The sequence below is a fragment of the Homo sapiens genome, chromosome 1, assembly GCF_000001405.40.
Source record: "Homo sapiens chromosome 1, GRCh38.p14 Primary Assembly".
Lineage (NCBI taxonomy): Eukaryota > Metazoa > Chordata > Mammalia > Primates > Hominidae > Homo > Homo sapiens.
Window position 1 is genome coordinate 235,869,215 of NC_000001.11, and position 17,076 is coordinate 235,886,290.

General features: G+C 42.3%; 1 protein-coding gene across 3 annotated transcripts in view, besides 1 other annotated feature; it reads right to left on the reverse strand.

Moving 5' to 3' along the window:
* LYST (lysosomal trafficking regulator) overlaps window positions 1-14,499 on the reverse strand; it is a 222,683-nt gene extending 208,184 nt beyond the window's left edge. For 2 of the 3 annotated variants that reach the window (NR_102436.3, XM_011544032.2), the window contains exon 1: window positions 13,973-14,499. The gene's annotated coding sequence lies outside the window, so the exon portion shown is untranslated. The remainder of the gene's footprint in view (window positions 1-13,972) is intronic. The other variant, NM_001301365.1, reaches the window with a different exon arrangement.
* Window positions 10,914-11,193: an enhancer, noted in NCBI's record as "active region_2807". NCBI's record gives its function as "activates an Ori minimal core promoter by ATAC-STARR-seq in GM12878 lymphoblastoid cells {active_cell/tissue: GM12878}" and the evidence as "EXISTENCE:reporter gene assay evidence [ECO:0000049][PMID:35858748]".

Below are 17,076 nucleotides of genomic sequence, written 5' to 3' on the forward strand. Positions count from 1 at the left end.
GTAATCCCAGCACTTTGGGAGGCCGAGGCGGGCAGATCACGAGGTCAGGAGATGGAGACCATCCTGGCTAACACGGTGAAACCCCGTCTCTACTAAAAATACAAAAAATTAGCCGGGCGCGGTGGCGGACGCCTGTAGTCTCAGCTAATCGAGAGGCTGAGGCAGGAGAATAGCGTGAACCCGGGAGGCGGAGCTTGCAGTGAGCTGAGATAGCGCCACTACAGTCTGGCCCGGGTGAAAGAGCGAGACTCCGTCTCAAAAAAAAAAATAATAATTAAAAAAGCTCTACTTACGCATGTATCACATGCTGGAAAACTTTTTAAGCAGGAAAGTCTTCAGCTAATTTGACTCCAGAATTATAATCTTCAATGAGATTGTAACATCCCAGCTTAAAACAACACAGTCAACGTAAATGTGCATAATTTCACATTTAATTATTCTCCAAAACACCTTTAAAAATTATTTGTGACTAAATGGATATATAAATCAAATCATGTCACATCTCTGCTCAAAAATCTGCATTGGCTCTCCGCTTCTCTCAGATAAAAGCCAAAGTCCTTACAATTGGCCTACAGAGCTCTAACACCATCTGGCTCCTCAAAACTTCGTCTCTTTCTACTCTCCCATCACTACCTACATACCTGCTTCTTTACTGTTTACCAAACATGCCAGATACAGTCCTGCTTTAAGGGCTTTGCACTGACTGGCCGGCCCCTCTGCTTGAAATTTGTTTTCTCCACATGGCTGCAGTTGTTAACTCCTTTATCTCCTCCACGTCTTTGCTCAAATTTCACCTCTCAATGAGGTCTACCCTTAATACTGCCCTTAAACTAGGCAAGAGGGGCCTCTGCCCTGGACCCCACACATGAATGGACCTCATCTCACAAATGTTCCCTAAAACAATAGTATTAAAAAACATGTATGTTCTCTGTCCCTTCTTGGGGGGTGTGGGGAGGTGGGTGGCATTGGTGAGAGTTGACACAGTTGTTAAATCAAGTTTAGCCTAAAGCTGCCTCCTTGCATATTTTAAGTTCAGCCTAAAGGTTTTTCTGTACATCATGAGCTATAACAAATGAAGGTGTAAACAGGCCATAGCCCACACCTGTGTCAATCCCTGAGTTTTGGCCAATCAAATGTAGCCAACTGTTTGAACTGTGTTCTAATAAAGCAAACGCTGAGCTGCAACCAACCCAGTTGTTTCTGTACCTCACTTCCATTTTCTGTATGTCACTTTCCTTTTGCTGTCCATAAATCTCCCACCGTGTGGCTGCGCGGGAGTCTCTGAGCCTACCTTGGCTCAGAAGGCTGCCTGATTCACGAATTGTTTTGTGCTCAATTAAACTTTAAATTTAATTTGGCTGAAGTGTTTCTTTTATCACAGTGTAACCTGTAACTCTAAACATCATCTCTTTCATAGCACCCATCAGCTTCTAACATACTACATAATTTGTCTATTTCTTATGTTTATTTTCATTGTCACCCCTGTTTAGACTATGGGCTCCACAAGGGCCACAATCTTTGTTCTATTTCTGATGTATCCCAAGGACCAGAACAGTGCCTGGCACTTAGTAGGCACTCAGTAAATATTTGGATAAATAGTTAAATTAAGAAAATTTTGTTGAAAATTCAAATAAATATCCAAACAGTAAGTTGACCATAATTTTGGAGCTGGACAATCTTAATGCCTACTGCAATGCATGGGAACAGAAATGGATTTGTGAAGTGGTAGAGGAATACAAGACTGCGATTTCAGCAATAGTAAGAAGGTCAGAATTATACAGATGAATAAAATTATGCATTTGACTAAAGACCTGCATCAATTTAATTTTGAGTGTCACTTTAATTTTGAAGTGCTTTACCTTATTAGGATGCATATACATCTTTTACAATTGTGCGTCTTGGTAGCCACCTTGAAACTTTATTGAAGAGGTCAATTCATAATTAATGTCTTCATTAAGTTGTTACCAACATCCATTTCATTTTGCAAAAGTTATCAGATTTGGTTTTAGTATGATTCTTTCATGTAATTTTCTCTACTAAATCACCAATAGCATTTGAAATCCCCAAAAGTATTGTCAGAGGCGTCCTAACTAGAGCGATTCCATCTTGAATAAAGGCCGGATAAAAGCAAACCTGCTGTGTTACATTCCCGAGGGGTTGGGCACTGTTGGTCACAAGACATTTATGGTTGAGGGAATGAGTTAATGATGCTAATAACTAATTAAAGACCCAGAATTTATGGAAATGTCCTAGTACTTTAAGAACAAAAAGCATTCTTAGTTTAAGACTAGGTTTTGCTTTAAAGATCATATAATATACTCATTAATTCTTGCTGAAATCAATAGTAACATAGGAAAATAACAATACTAATAGCATGTCACAAGCTGATCACAAGTCTTTGTAATAAAGTACACTATTCTTAACAACCTATAGAAGCAAGCACTATGTTTAAGGTAGTGAGTTCTTCCTTTTGCTTTCTAAGGACACCCTACTCTGTAATTGAGTAGTCTCTAATAAACTATCTTAACTTCACTATACTCTGCAGCTCGCCCTGAATTCTTTCCTGTGCAAGATCCAAGAATCTGCTCTCAGGGTCTGGGACAAGATCCCTTTTCCGGTGACAGTATCTATACTTTACTCAAAAACTCTCACGTCCTTGCATTAAAAGATTTCTACATGTCGGGGAGGAAATGTTTCCTCAACCCTCCCAGGGTTCCTGGCTGGCTCTGAAATAAAACAAAGACAGATTAACAGGAAAAAATATACAAATTTATTTAATCAGAGTTTTACGTAACATGGGGCCAAGCACAGTGGTTCACACCTGTAATCCCAGCACTTTGGGAGGCTGAGGCGGGTGGATCACCGGAAGTCAGGAGTTCGTGACCAGCCTGGCCAATGTGGCGAAACCCAGTCTCTACTAAAAATACAAAAACTAGCCAGGCATAGTGGCACATGCATGTAGTCTCAGCTACTCAGGAGGCTGAAGCAGGAGAATTGCTTGAACCTGGGAGACGGAGATTGCAGTGAGCCAAGATCGCACCACTGCACTCCAGCCCAGGCAACGGAGTGACATTCTGTCTCAAAAAAAAAAAAAAAAAAAAAAAAGTTTTATGTAACATGGAAGACTTCAGAAATGAAGACCGGAAGACCCAGGGAAAACTGCCCATTTTTCTGCTTAGATTCAATGAAGAATGGACAGCACTGTAGACATGTGATTGGACAAAAGAGTTTGATCTCGTGGTAATAGACCGAGGGGGGATCCAGCAATGCCTGTCTGTTCCGATTCTTCTTGGCATCTGTGTGCAGCATTCCTTCTTCCCGGATACAGGGCAGGATGCCTCTGGAATGAAGGTCTTATGACCTAGAATCATCCAACAGGGGAGGTCAGAGAATTTTTTTATGGCCAGCTTCTATTCAGAAAGTTGGGCAGAAAGAGTGGCTCATACCTGTAATCCCAGCTCTTTGAGAGGTGGGCAGTTCACTTGAGTTCAGGAGTTCGAGACCAGCCTGGCCAACATGGTGAAACCCCATCTCTACTAAAAATACAAAAAATTAGCCGGGTGTGGTGGTGCATGCCTGTAGTCCCAGCTACTCAGGAGGCTTAGGCAGGAGAATCGCTTGAACCTGGGAGGTGGAGGTTGCAGTAAGCCGAGATCCCACCATCGCACTCCAGCCTGGGTGACAGAGTGAGACTCTGTCTCAAAAAGCAAAAAGAAAGTTGGGAAGAAAAAGAATAATATTTCCAGGTTTATGACTTGCTTTGTGGTGGAGGAGTTCTACTTTCTATGGCTTGCCTTAGAGTTTCCACGGCCTATCTTGAAGGAGAAAGAGAAGCAGGAGAAAGGAGGGTGAGAGAAGGTGAAACAGATCTTGCTTCTGAGGCTCTCTTGGTTTCCTGCAGTTTGTTCAAAGCACTCAGCATGCCAAGGCACCAAACTTTGGGGTATTGTGTTGAGTCCTGACATAAACATCAGAAACTATTTCCTTGAGATGACCTTTCCAACCAACTAAAAGTGTTAAAAACAACTGAAATTTCCCCTCTCCTGTGGAAACCTCAGGCTGAACGTGTCATAGTGTTCTACTTTCATATATAGAAAAGACTGTACTTGTGGGCAACAGTGTCATTAATTCTCATACAAGTTTTTTTTTCCATTTAACAATTCTGTCCTGTTTTTCTGCTTACAACAGAAAACATATGCTATAGTAATAAACTCAAACACTAGACAAATACACAATATACAACGTAGGAAATGGAAGTATTCCATGATCTCACCCTAGAGATAATCATTAGTAATTGACAGACATGCCCACAGGTGTTTTAGTAGACACACACACAAACACACATAGTTGTGGTTATTATTGCATTATTATTACTATCACCACCACTATCATTGAAAAAAGAGAGATTTGGGTCTATTATTGAGCATAATTCTTAGCCAGGTGATTTACTTGGCATTACTTATTTTGACAGCCAGTATTTGTCTATCTTAATTCCCAATATATTCCTGCGGTCTACAAATTTCTGATTAACTTTCACCTGAAACCACACTAGCTGTTTATTTTGGAAGAGCAAACTAAATCTGTCCTACACAATAGACAGGCTAAGAAGTACAAGGAAATTAAGAAACATTATCATTTGAAATACAGGTTTCCTATTCATTCCTGTTTATAAAGCCAAGAGCCCAGTTTATCTGAGCAGATTAAAAATTACAAGGACTCGCTAAAACTCATGGTCTCTCATTCAGAAGGAAATAGAAAAACACAAATAATATAAGTTCTCAGCAGATGCATAGAATAGAATAACACTTGACCACTTCAAAGCAACAGTTGAAAAGGGTGACTCAGGGTCAAGGTAAGGAACAGGTAAAAATATATATGTGTGTTTCGCTGCCTCCTTGAAAAATGGTGCTACATAAAAAGATTCTGAATATTTACAGTTTACCATTCTATAAACACCACAATTTTGCACCATTTCAAAAAAATGTCTCCAACTCTACCTAGTCCCACACACAGAATCCACTACAGTAGTAAGATTGCAGGATTGATCTGTTATTTCAGACCTTCATTCAGTTATTGGGTATTTTCTGTATACTTGCAATGTTCAAGGCTTTGGAATGAAAGACATTCTGGGTCTGCTTGGACTCCAGACAAGTAAACAAGCAACTATAGTCGAGGGAGATGAAGGTTATGGCAACATTGTGCGTAGGATTCTCTGGAGCAGCGCGGAGGGACACCCAACTCCCATCCTGGGATCATAAAAAGCTTCTTGGAAAGCAGCCTCTAAACTTGAGACTTAAACACTCAGCAGGCTTTGAGCAGGCCAGTTTTTCCTAATATTTTAAGCACCTCCAGTCTAAGATAAATTTTTTAAAATAAGAGTAATGCAGAAAACATTTTTTTCATAAAGCTAATTTTATCCAAAGGACTGTCCTTTATTCTGAAACTAAGCCCTTCCTACTTTTGGAGAATTTAAATAATCTTCCTTTTATGATACAGAAATAACAGTTTGGATGTCTCAAATAGCCTTTCTGGACCAATCAGTTGACAATAAAGAGTTGGAAATTTGATTGGTCCCTGAAAGGGTTTGTTGTTTTGTTGGTGTTGTTGATATGGTTGTTATTTGTATGGGCGTGTGTGTGCATAGATGTGTGTGCATAAAATCCGTGTGTCCAGAAACAACTGACAGCTGAGCTGGGATGGACAGCAAGGGTGTTCCAAGCCCAGGCTCCTCCTCCAACCAGCAGCATCAGCATTACCTGGGAGCTTGAGAGAAATGCAGAATCTCAGGCCATGCCCCAGACTTACTGAGTCAGGCTTAGCATTTTAACACGATCCCCGGGTGATTTATATGTACATTAAAGTATATTTTGTTCCCTCCATTCCTAGAATAGAGGGAACAGCGGGTATAAAGACTGGTGGGAAAGATCACGGTGGTTTGAAGATCTTTTCCAAAGTGAAAGAGTCAATGCCACAATTCAGGGAGGCTGAGAATGATGCTGGGAAGGCAGGCAGGTGGGTGGAGGAAGATGATTTGTGTTTTACTTCTGCTCCCACTGTAGCTGCATAGATCACTATTCCCTATTTCCTCCTTTCATTTTTAACTAAGGCATGTTCCATGTTGCTTAAAATGTCCAATCACTTATTGAAAAACCTCAAAGCACATGTTAAATATCCTGGGACAAATATCTTGGGGCTATTGTGTGGCAATTACAGGGATGCTGATTAAGCATTTCATAACTATAATAACACAATATTCTGACTCTCCAGAGTGGCTGGTGGAGAGTCTGTTTTAATAAGGACCAGACACCAAAGGATAAAAATTTACCCTAAGCCAGGGGGCAGCTACATCATGCTGATGGAAGGAGTCCTGCCCCACACAACTGCTTGGTTGTCTAAATTAGTCTTCATCCTACACCTGCATAAGAACTGTGCTACAGCCTGGGCAACATGGCAAGACCCTATCTCTACAAAAGTAAAAAATTAGCCAGGCATGGTGACACACGCCTGTGGTCCCAGCTACTTGGAAGCCTGAGGCAGGAGGATGGCTTGAGCCCAGGAGTTTGAGGCTTGCAGTGAGGTATGGTACTCAAGCCTGGGTGACAGAGCGAGACTCTGTTTCAAACAAACAGACAAACAAAAACAAACAAACTGCATTGAATGTACTAAAGGCATGATCTTTCCTTATTTATGAGTTAAGATTTAAATTAAAATATGCTTTTTCTTGGCCGGGCATAGTGACTCGTGCTTGTAATCCCAGCACTTTGGGAGGCTGAGGCAGGTGGTTCACTAGAACCACTCAGTAGTTTGAGACCAGCCTGGCCAACATGGTGAAACCCCATCTCTACTAAAAATACAAAAATTAGCCAGGCATGGTGGCAGCTCCTATAGTCCCAGCTACTCAGGAGGCTGAGGTGAGAGGATCACTTGAACCTGGGAGGGAGAGGTTGCAGTGAGCCGAGATCATGTCACCGCACTCCATCCTGGGTGACAGAGTGGGACTCTGTCTCAAGAAAAAAAGAAAATACATTTTCTTTTTTATCTGCTAAAAGGGAAAGAACATCCCACATGGCCAAAAAAACAAAACACAATCCAATATAGTTTTCCCTCCCTCTCCTGCTTCCCACAGTATTTCTATTGTTATTTTCTTTAAAAAAAATGGTTTGTCTTCTCAAATACACTTTGAGTTTACTAAGTTGTGGGAACTGCATTTTGACTTTTTGTGTTCCCAAGTAACCAAGGTAGTAGTTGCTCAATTAATTTTTTGGATAAACGAGGAAGCTGATGACACAGAAGAATATAAATAGTTGAATGAATTCTCTATGATCTGTAGCCACATGGCTGACAGTTGCTAGAGCTTATTATTATACTTGGGGAGATTTTATTTAAATTCTGATTTTTTGTTCCTGGCAGATCGGAATATTTGACATCTATGTGCCCTATGATGTGACATCCTGTTTGTTAGTAAAGTTCTGTTTTCTGCAAAGAGAAACTAAACTTGTAAAAATGACATAATCATTTGCCCAGCTCACTACATAAGCTAATTTGAGAGGCACAGTCCTGTCATATATTTGGAATCAGAACTGAATATTAGTGTAGCATGGTCCACTTTAAGCCTAAGCTATGTTTATGACTAGAATTTAGATGGTACGAGTTATACGGGTCCTGGTGGGGCAGCCCCAGGCATTGGTTCAGAGGAGTGACTGAAGAGCTCTCATTCAGACCTTCCCAGGTACAAAAGCTTATCTGATAATAAAAGTTGGGTTGCAGAATGGAACAGGTGACTGTAAGCACAGCAGAGGGTCTGGCATCCAGATTTGCTCCTTACCTGTTTTCTAGATATTTCTATGTCCAGTCCTGGACAAAAGCATCTGAGATTTAAAACAGAAAGGCTTGTTTTCCCTAAAATGTCTGTGGGATCCCTGGTTGAAGTCAGCACTGACATGCTATCCATATAACCGAGTGGTTGTACCAGAGAAAAGAGAATGGCTGGCCCTGTCCCGCTATCAAGAGGGGCCAGCACCACACACCAGCCATGACAGAGAGGGGTCACTCACTCTACCAGGTGTTTGCTGGAGCCTCTGATGGAAGAAAAATCCTTCTCCCTGCCCAGATTGTGCTGACATCAGAGGAGGAAATATAGGAATCATGGGAACACAGAATTCATTTTGTAAACAGTTCACTTATGGTCAACTTTGTTGTTGTTGTTTTTGGAGACGGGGTTTTGCTCTTGTCGCCCAGGCTGGAGTGCAATGACACGATCTCCCTCACTGCAACCTCTGCCTCCCGGGTTCAAGCAATTCTCCTGCCTCTGCCTCCCGAGTAGCTGGGATTACAGGCATGCACCACCACATCCGGCTAATTTTGTATTTTTAGTAGACATGAGGTTTCTCCATGTTGGTCAGGCTGGTCTCGAACTCCCAACCTCAGGTGATCCACCCGCCTTGGCCTCCCAAAGTGCTAGGATTACAAGCGTGAGCCACCGCGCCTGGCCGGTCAACTTTCTTTTTTAAACGTTTCTATTCCGTGAGTACAGTTCTGAGACAATTGCATCGCTTAGCAGTGTAGATGTAGCCCAGGTGGGTCATCTTATGGGAAATAAAATGTATGATCTATTCGGAAGTATCTGACAATATCTGCCACCAAAAAAAAAAAAAAAAAAAATCTAAAACACACATTGATATTGGAGCAAATGCAGACATTAGGTTGGCAAACCAATCACTGAAATATAATATCAAGAAGACAGGGCAACAGGGTGTTACTAGATTCTAGAAATCTAACTGAGGAAGACAGTTGACTCAGATAAGATGTATCAAAGCACCTTTGAATTGGAAAGGGCCTCAAATATGCAATGCATTTAAACATGTCTGGGCCCACTTAATAATGTAATCTTCTGGATCTTTATAGTTTTAAAAATCATCCTGTCACTTCACACGTGTTGGCAAGGTAGGGTAGCTTAATCAGCAGAGCCCCAAGGCAACATCCCTGGAGCAGGTGAGCTCGGCCTTCAGCTGGAGGGGGACTCCAGGCCAGGAGGCAGTCTTGGCAAGTTGCATTCCCACCCTGAGTGATGAGGGAGTGGCTTGTGGCAGAGCAACTCTGGCTCTGCGGGTGGACTCTGTGACCAGTGTGCAAGCTGCCATTGAACTCAGCTTCTCCTGAATTCTATGTGATTTCAAGAAGATACTCTCCCTTCTATCCCACTCTCCCTGATTCCACCCCCTTGGACACATGTTCCCTAATAGTCAGATACTAGCAACCTGAAGTAAAAATAATGACGGCCGCCCTGCTTCCGCCATTGTGGTTCCTACTGCCCAAGTTCCTCCTCCAGACCTAAAAGCACCAGCCAAGATTTTGAGGTCACCAAATCACAGTAATAGCTGACCAGGAAATGTATTGTAAAGCACCATCACAGGACCTCTCACCCAGCAGGATAACCTCTCCTGACTTGTTTCCTGCCAAACCCATAGCACCATTTTTGGAACTCAGCTGCTGACTGATAATTAGGTCTAATAGGAGAGCAAGGGTTTCCTGATGGGATACAGACAACACCATATTTACTGGCAGCTGTGCCTTTGCTAATTGTTGGAAACCTGGCTTTTAACCCATGCTTGCCACCCACCATGCTGGGCTCAGGCAATCTAATGAACACAGTTCTTTGCACATTAGTATTTAAATTTTTTTTTTACAGATTTAGGGGTGCAAGTGCAATTGTATTACATGGATATATTGAGTAGTGGTGAGGTCTGGGCTGTTAGAGTACCCATCACCTGAATAGTGAACATTGTACCCAACAGGTAACACATTTTTTAAGAGACAGGATCTTGTTCTATAGCCCTGTCTGGAGTTCTGTGTGCAATCATAGCTCACTGTAACCTCAAACCCCTGGGCTCAAGCAATCCTCCCACCTCAGCCTCCCAAAGCACTGGGATTACAGGTGTGAACCACCACTACCAGCCATTCTTCACACATTGAAGACAACTATGAGGTGAGTATCCTACCCACTTGTGGCTGACTGTTAATACACAGAAATAATATTAGAGCATTTGTCACTGGGGAGAATACATTTGCAGGTATGGGTGTGAATTCTGACCAGTTGAAGGCAGGCATATAATAGATGTCTGAAAGCAAGACAAATCTTTGGCCACTGGGGACTGGTTTTGCAAAAGCAGGGAGCATATGGCGGGAATGGTCGCCTGCTAACAATATTCACCTCAAGAACTGCTGAGTGGCACCCCAGGTGCTACCTGTGTTAACTGGCTGTCTAACCAGACACCTGACAACATGTGTGGAGGACACTGTTTGAAGGGAAAGAGAACAGGGAAAAATATTTTACTCCAGATACATAGTCTGTTCCTTTAACACCATTCATTATACTCATCTTTTCCCCTCTAATTAGAAATGCCACTTTTATTACATACTAACTCCCTTTCAGCTTTTCAGGCTGTTTCTGAGCATTCTAAAACAGAGAAATATGGAACTATAAACTGAAAGCTCTGAGAATGGATCTAACTTCCTTTCTTTCTTTCTTTTTTTTTTTTTTGAGACGGAGTCTCGCTCTGTCGCCCAGGCTGGAGTGCAGTGGCACAATTTTGGCTCACTGCAACCTCTGCCTCCCGGTTTCAAGTCATTCTCCTGCCTTAGCCTCCCAAGTAGCTGGGATTATGGGCATGCGCCACCACGCCCAGCTAATTTCTGTATTTTTAGTAGAGACGGGGTTTCACCATGTTAGCCAGGGTGATCTCGAACTCCTGACCTCAGGTGATCTGCCCACCTCAGCCTCCCAAAGTGCTGGGATTACAGGTGTGAGCCACCATGCCCAGACTGAGAATGGATCTAAGTTTCTCAGAAGAGTGAACTCTTGTCTCGTTTTTTCTTAGAGTTATCAGCAACTACATGCATAGCACTGTACCTTTTATGTCTTGTATTTACAAGTCATTGGTTAGGTCATCTGAATTCTATAATTGTCTCAAACATGTTTCTTTTTGTATTGACCACTTCCTCAATTTCAGAGAAGAAGGAAGACTATATCTCACTCAATATTAGTTTAGCAATATATGTGAAAAAAACTCAGCAGGCTTGCCTTATACTGCCTTCCCTTGTGGAGAATCAATAGCATAGACATTCTGAAAACATGCATGGTAAGAATGGAGGTTGTAAGATGTACAAGTAAGTTGATTGGTCAGTTATTCTAAGTCAAGGATCCTGTGTTGATTTATTACTCGGTAAAAGTGTCATCATTTGACACCGTCATAACAGTGACTAAACACATCTTTGCCACACCTAATATGTACAGCAAACCAGAAAGAACCATGGGAAGTGGGTTAGGGTATTTATTCTAATGCTATAACTGATACTGCCTAGATGGAATGTATACATACCATGTAGGACTTACTGTCTGTTTTTACCAAGAGTATTTTTTCTATTCTTGGTTCAGGGCTTTCCTTCTCTGTGCCTATTCCTTATTTATGGAAAACTGTCTCCTCAATTGTGATGTTTTAAAATCCCACCAGAACCTATCTTGTCACCCTTAAATGTCCCTAGGATTCTACTTCATCTTCAAAGATTTTTCTTACGCAAATGGGAAGAACAAGTATTGCTGCATTTTTTCCTTTAAAGAATTCCATTTAGCGGCCGGGCACGGTGGCTCACACCTGTAATCCCAGCACTTTGGGAGGCTGAGGTGGGTGGATCGCCAGAGGTCCGGAGTTCAAGACCAGCCTAACCAACATGGTGAAACCCCATCTCTACAAAAAATAAAAAAATTAGCCGGGCGTGGTGGAGGGTGCATGTAATCCCAGCTACTCAGGAGGCTGAAGCAGGAGAATCAGCCTAGGAAATTAAGTGACTTGCTGTACGTGATATACAGGGCAGGGCTGGAACTGGGGTTCCTAACTCCAAATTTCTAAGCAGGTCATAACGAAGTGGTAACTACAAAACTTACCAACTGGTTATCTTAAAAGAATTTTCTCCTTAGAAGTATTTTGCCAGAGTTTAATTTTAGACTGCAAGTGTTATTCACACTGTCACGTTTCAACAGGTTTGCAAGTTCTTCTGTGTGGAAAACATACTTTTACCACAGGGAAGAGTCAGATGTTCTTTGCAGAGTCTTTGCTGTGCTTTAATTACCTAAAATTACTCCTTGGAAGTTTGTATATAGCTACATTACCACATTGAAGATGCATATTTAACATGCACAATCGGCTTTGAGGAAAAATAATAGGGGTGTGAATTACCATACCATCCAACAATTCCACTTCCGGTACATATCAAAGAGCGAAAGCAGGATCTCAAAGAGATATTGGTACACCCATGTTCATAGCAGCATTATTCATAAAAGCCAAAGGGGAAGCAATGCAAGTGTCCATTGATAGATGAATAAAGAAAATGTGATATATTATATATATCACTGTGTGTGTGTATATATATTTACATACACGTACATACATATATATATGCAATGGAATATTATTCAACCTTAAAAAGAAAAGAAATTCTGACACATGCTACAACATGGATGAATCTTGAAGGTATGCTGCTGAGTGAAAAAAGCCTCTCACAAAAGGACAAATCCTATATATATCATGTATGTAGAATAGCCAAATTCGCACAGACAGGAAACAGAATGGTGGTCGCCAGAAGCTGGGGGATAGAAGGAAATGAGGAGTTAGTGTTCAATGGGTACAAAATTTCAGCTGGGGAAGTTTAAAATGTCCTGGAAATGGATAGTGGTGGTGGTTACACAAGAATGTGAATGTACAGTTAATGCCACTAAACTGTACATTTAAAAATGGGTAAGACGATAAATTTTATGTTATGTATATTTAAACACACACACTCACACATACACACACACACTCTTTCTTTCACACACACACACACACACACACACACACAAATAGGAGGCAGAATACTTAACCCAGATCTGGAGGAAGGAGGATCGGGAAGGCTTCACAAAGGAGATGGCTTTGTCTTGAAAAAAGAGGAGGAGTTTGGCAGGCAGGACAAGAGAAAGATATTCCAGGCTGAGGGAATAGCATAGGAAGTAAGGAGGCAATTCCAAGGTCATATTAGGAGAACAGCAGGTAATCCAGGTGATGACAGTCCTGGACTCTTGCAGGTGATGAAGCTGCAATGGCAGAGGGAGCCGATCTTGAAAGCTCCTGTGTGCCATGCGGAAGCTTTGGACTTTATTCCATAGGTACTGGGCAGCTACTGGAGTCCATTAAGCTGGATATATGCCCAAGCTTGCATTTCAGAAAGAGAATGTGGGCAGTTGCCTGAAGAGAGGATTGGAGGTGAAAGGGACTAGAGGCAGAGACAATGGTGAGGAGACTCTTGCAGTAGCCCAAGAGAAAGATGATGAGGGCCCCAGCTGAGGGTATTGGAAATGGAGAAAGGTGTTAAGAGTGTGTAGGAACCTACAAGAGGTGGTGAGTGGAAGCTAACGATGTGAGATAGCCTTAGCATAGATCAGAAATATAACAGAGGCTGAAGGGTTAGGGAGGGCTAGCAGTGAGGAGTGAGAAGGAGAGAAAGAATAAGTCCATGTTGGAGATGTTCAGTTTCATGTGCCTTGTGTAAAAACATCCCACATGAGTCCATCTGCACACATGTATTGAGTGAGTCCTTATAACTACGCCATGACCCAGACAAATAATCTCAATTTTACTGGCACCCGAGAATCAGATTGGAATCTCTCCAATGAATGTCTTTGGCTCACCCCACTCCAGAAAAGTATCTGTATTCTCCCTCCTCAAATACTCTTCCCTGCGGTTTCTCTACAGTCCTGGCCACTCTCTGAGCAAGCAGTCTGCAGGGGCCAGCTCCTGGAGGCAACAGCACTGCCAGAAATTCATCCACCAGTCACCTTTCTCGGTGGTACTTAAAGCTCTCAGTCTGCACCCAGCCTGCCCTCCTAAGCTGCCCATGCTCTCGGCTGGCACTGAAAAGTCTCAGAAACACTTTAACCTACCTGAACGGTGATTGCCTCTTTTAGATGAGCAAGGAACTCTTTGTTGCAGGCTAATTAGCAACCGTCTTCCCAGGTAGCTGCAACGAAACTGGTCTCTTCCATGCTGTTAAGCAAGCTGGGTCTCTTGTTTGCAGTTAGATCCTGGCTTCTGTTCAGCTGACTTAGGGTAGGATTATTCCCCTGGCATTGAGGAACACACACGGTTGAGTCAAACAGCCCAAACCCCATTAGATGGCAAGGGAAAATACTGCTGTACTCTGATGTCACCCGAGGAAGACACGGGAACAGATGGTGAAGGCAAAAGCTTCATGCACCACAGAAACCTCGGAATACAACTTTCCCACGTAAGAATGAATAAACACTGAAAGAGGCCAAAACCCCAAACACTCTGGTATGAGGACTGCTCTTCTCAAAGCCAAAAGGTCATTGGGATGGCTTCTTAGAAGCCCTTGCGTTGCTTTTTCGTTTGGTAACGGGGCTAGGAAATCTCTGTGTCACCAGGAAGGCGAGTGGCCCTCTCTCCCTCTGGCTCTTTGGCAGGTGGCCACGCTTGTATCACATGGGGAATTTGGCAAATCAAGTCCGATTCTTTTGCAGTGTAGCTGCAGCAAGGATTTCCAGTTAGTGATTTTGTGGTGGCTCCTATGAGTCATAATTCCCTGATTCTTCTGCAGAGAGGGTGGACCTAAGTTTGTCCTTGTGAGGACCATCATTACTCTTGGTTTGAGAAGTCTGCAGTCCTTGGAGGACATAAAACTAAACCCCAAAATCTGAGTTCTTTTTTCAGAGACAAGGTTTCGCTCTGTCATCCAGGCCAGAATGCAGTGGCACAATCATGGCTCACTGCAGCCTAGACCTCCTGGGCTCAAGAGATCCTCCTGCCTCAGCCTCCCAAGTAGCTGGGACTACAGGCATGAGCCACCATGCCCAGCTAATTTTTTTTTTTTTTTTTTGAGACGGAGTCTCGCTCTGTCGCCCAGGCTGGAGTGCAGTGGCGGGATCTCGGCTCACTGCAAGCTCCGCCTCCCGGGTTCACGCCATTCTCCTGCCTCAGCCTCCCGAGTAGCTGGGACTACAGGCGCCCGCCACTACGCCCGGCTAATTTTTTTGTATTTTTAGTAGAGACGGGGTTTCACCGTTTTAGCCGGGATGGTCTCGATCTCCTGACCTCGTGATCCGCCCGCCTCGGCCTCCCAAAGTGCTGGGATTACAGGCGTGAGCCACCGCGCCCGGCGCCCAGCTAATTTTTTAATGCCCAGGCTGGTCTTGAACTCCTGGCCTCAGGCAATCCTCTTGCCCCAGTCTCCCAAAGCCATGGTTTACAGACATGAATCACTGCACCTGGCCCACAATATGAGTTTGAAGCATGGATACTGCCACTAGCTTTCTGGTGGCAAACTTTCACCAAACTCCTAGTGTCTTTTTTTTTTTTTTTTGCCGTTCCTTTGTGCTAAAATATGCCTTTTTTTTTTCCTCCTCCTGTTGTTACCTTTAAAATATTTTAATTAAAAACTACTGTCATCTTTTTAATATGTCTGTTATGGATTTCTGAATTAATATTTTTATTTAGAAACTTTTGTACATATATATATAAACAATGGCATTTTTTTTTTTTTTTTCATTTGAGACAGGGTCTTGCTCTGAAGCCCAGGCCAGAGCGCAGTTGTGTGACCTTAGCTCACTGCAGCCTCAAACGCCTGGGCTCAGGTGATCCTCCTGCCTCAGCCTCCTGAGTAGCTGGGATTACAGGAAAACACCACCATGCCTAGCTAATTATTTTTATTTTTTAGTGGCAGGGTCTTGCTATTTCTCCCAGGCTGGTCTTGAACTCCCAGGCTCAAGCAATCCTCCCGCCTTGGCCTCCCAACTAGCACTTTGCCAAGTTGCTCTTTTTAAATTGGCAATTATGCCAGGTCCTGGGCTAGTATTTCATCAGTGTTATTGTATGTAATCCTCACAACAATTCTTCCAGATAGGTACTTTTATTCCCATTTTACTGATAAGGAATCTAAGACTTGTTCAATGTTTCACTGCTTTTAAAGGGTGGCACCAGTGCTTGAACCCAGGCCCGTTTAACATCCAATTCCTTCCTTCTAAACTACTAACTAGACTGTTCTTTGCATGTGTGTTACATATAGGTATATATAGACTACATAGTAGGCAGGCAATAAATATTTGTTGAATGACTATTCTGTAGTGTATGTATTTGCTCAGAACTATCAAGTTTATTACTGTCCTTAGAAATTGATGCTAATCATGTGATCTTCTGGATCAGAGTATAGCTAAAAAGATTCATATCATAACATCAGGTGGAGCCCAGAACAATGAGTATTAAAGTGAGTGCTTAGATAATATGGTAATATCTATTACAAGCACCCACTTATAATAGGTATTACTTATAATAGGTTGTGGCTGAACCCTAAAGCACCTGGAATAGTCTTTATAATTAGTTCCTCAACAAATATTTATAAATGTATTCTAGTATCTTAGGTACCATGTAGGTATTAGGTTCTTGATAAATATTTCTTCAATACATCATTATTGCAGTCCCTTTTTATCACTGTTTAGGCCATGTCGATGAATTCCCCCAGCTGCACTCAATGTAAAGAGTGTGGGTTTGACTATATTTACTGTTCTCACATCAGCTGAGTTTAACTCACACCCAGCAGAGATGTTAAGGGTCAAAGGTATTGAGAGAAAGTTCTTTATCTATCCAACATGAAAACTGGCTGAATGCTGTGGATAATAAAGTCACTGTGAACATATACCTTTAGGAGAAAAAGGCCTTCTTTCCTTTGAAATGTGGGTTAGCTCTGTTTCGTGCTGTAACACATATTATTAAAAAGCCCCTGAAGCATTTTGAAGAGCTGTGAAGGCTTTACCTCTCTAAGTGTTACTTGCATTTCTCATGGCACTTCCTGCCTCATTTAATTCTACTAATGTTGTTAGATCACCTATCATAACTTGATGTACTGAATTAATATTTTCCTCTTGAAGACGTTTTGGAAAAAAATATATCTTGGCCTTATTATGAACTTAGAGGCCCTTGTTAATGAGCAGGATGCAAATGATTCATTTGGAAGACAGAAATCCTTTCTGAGTGG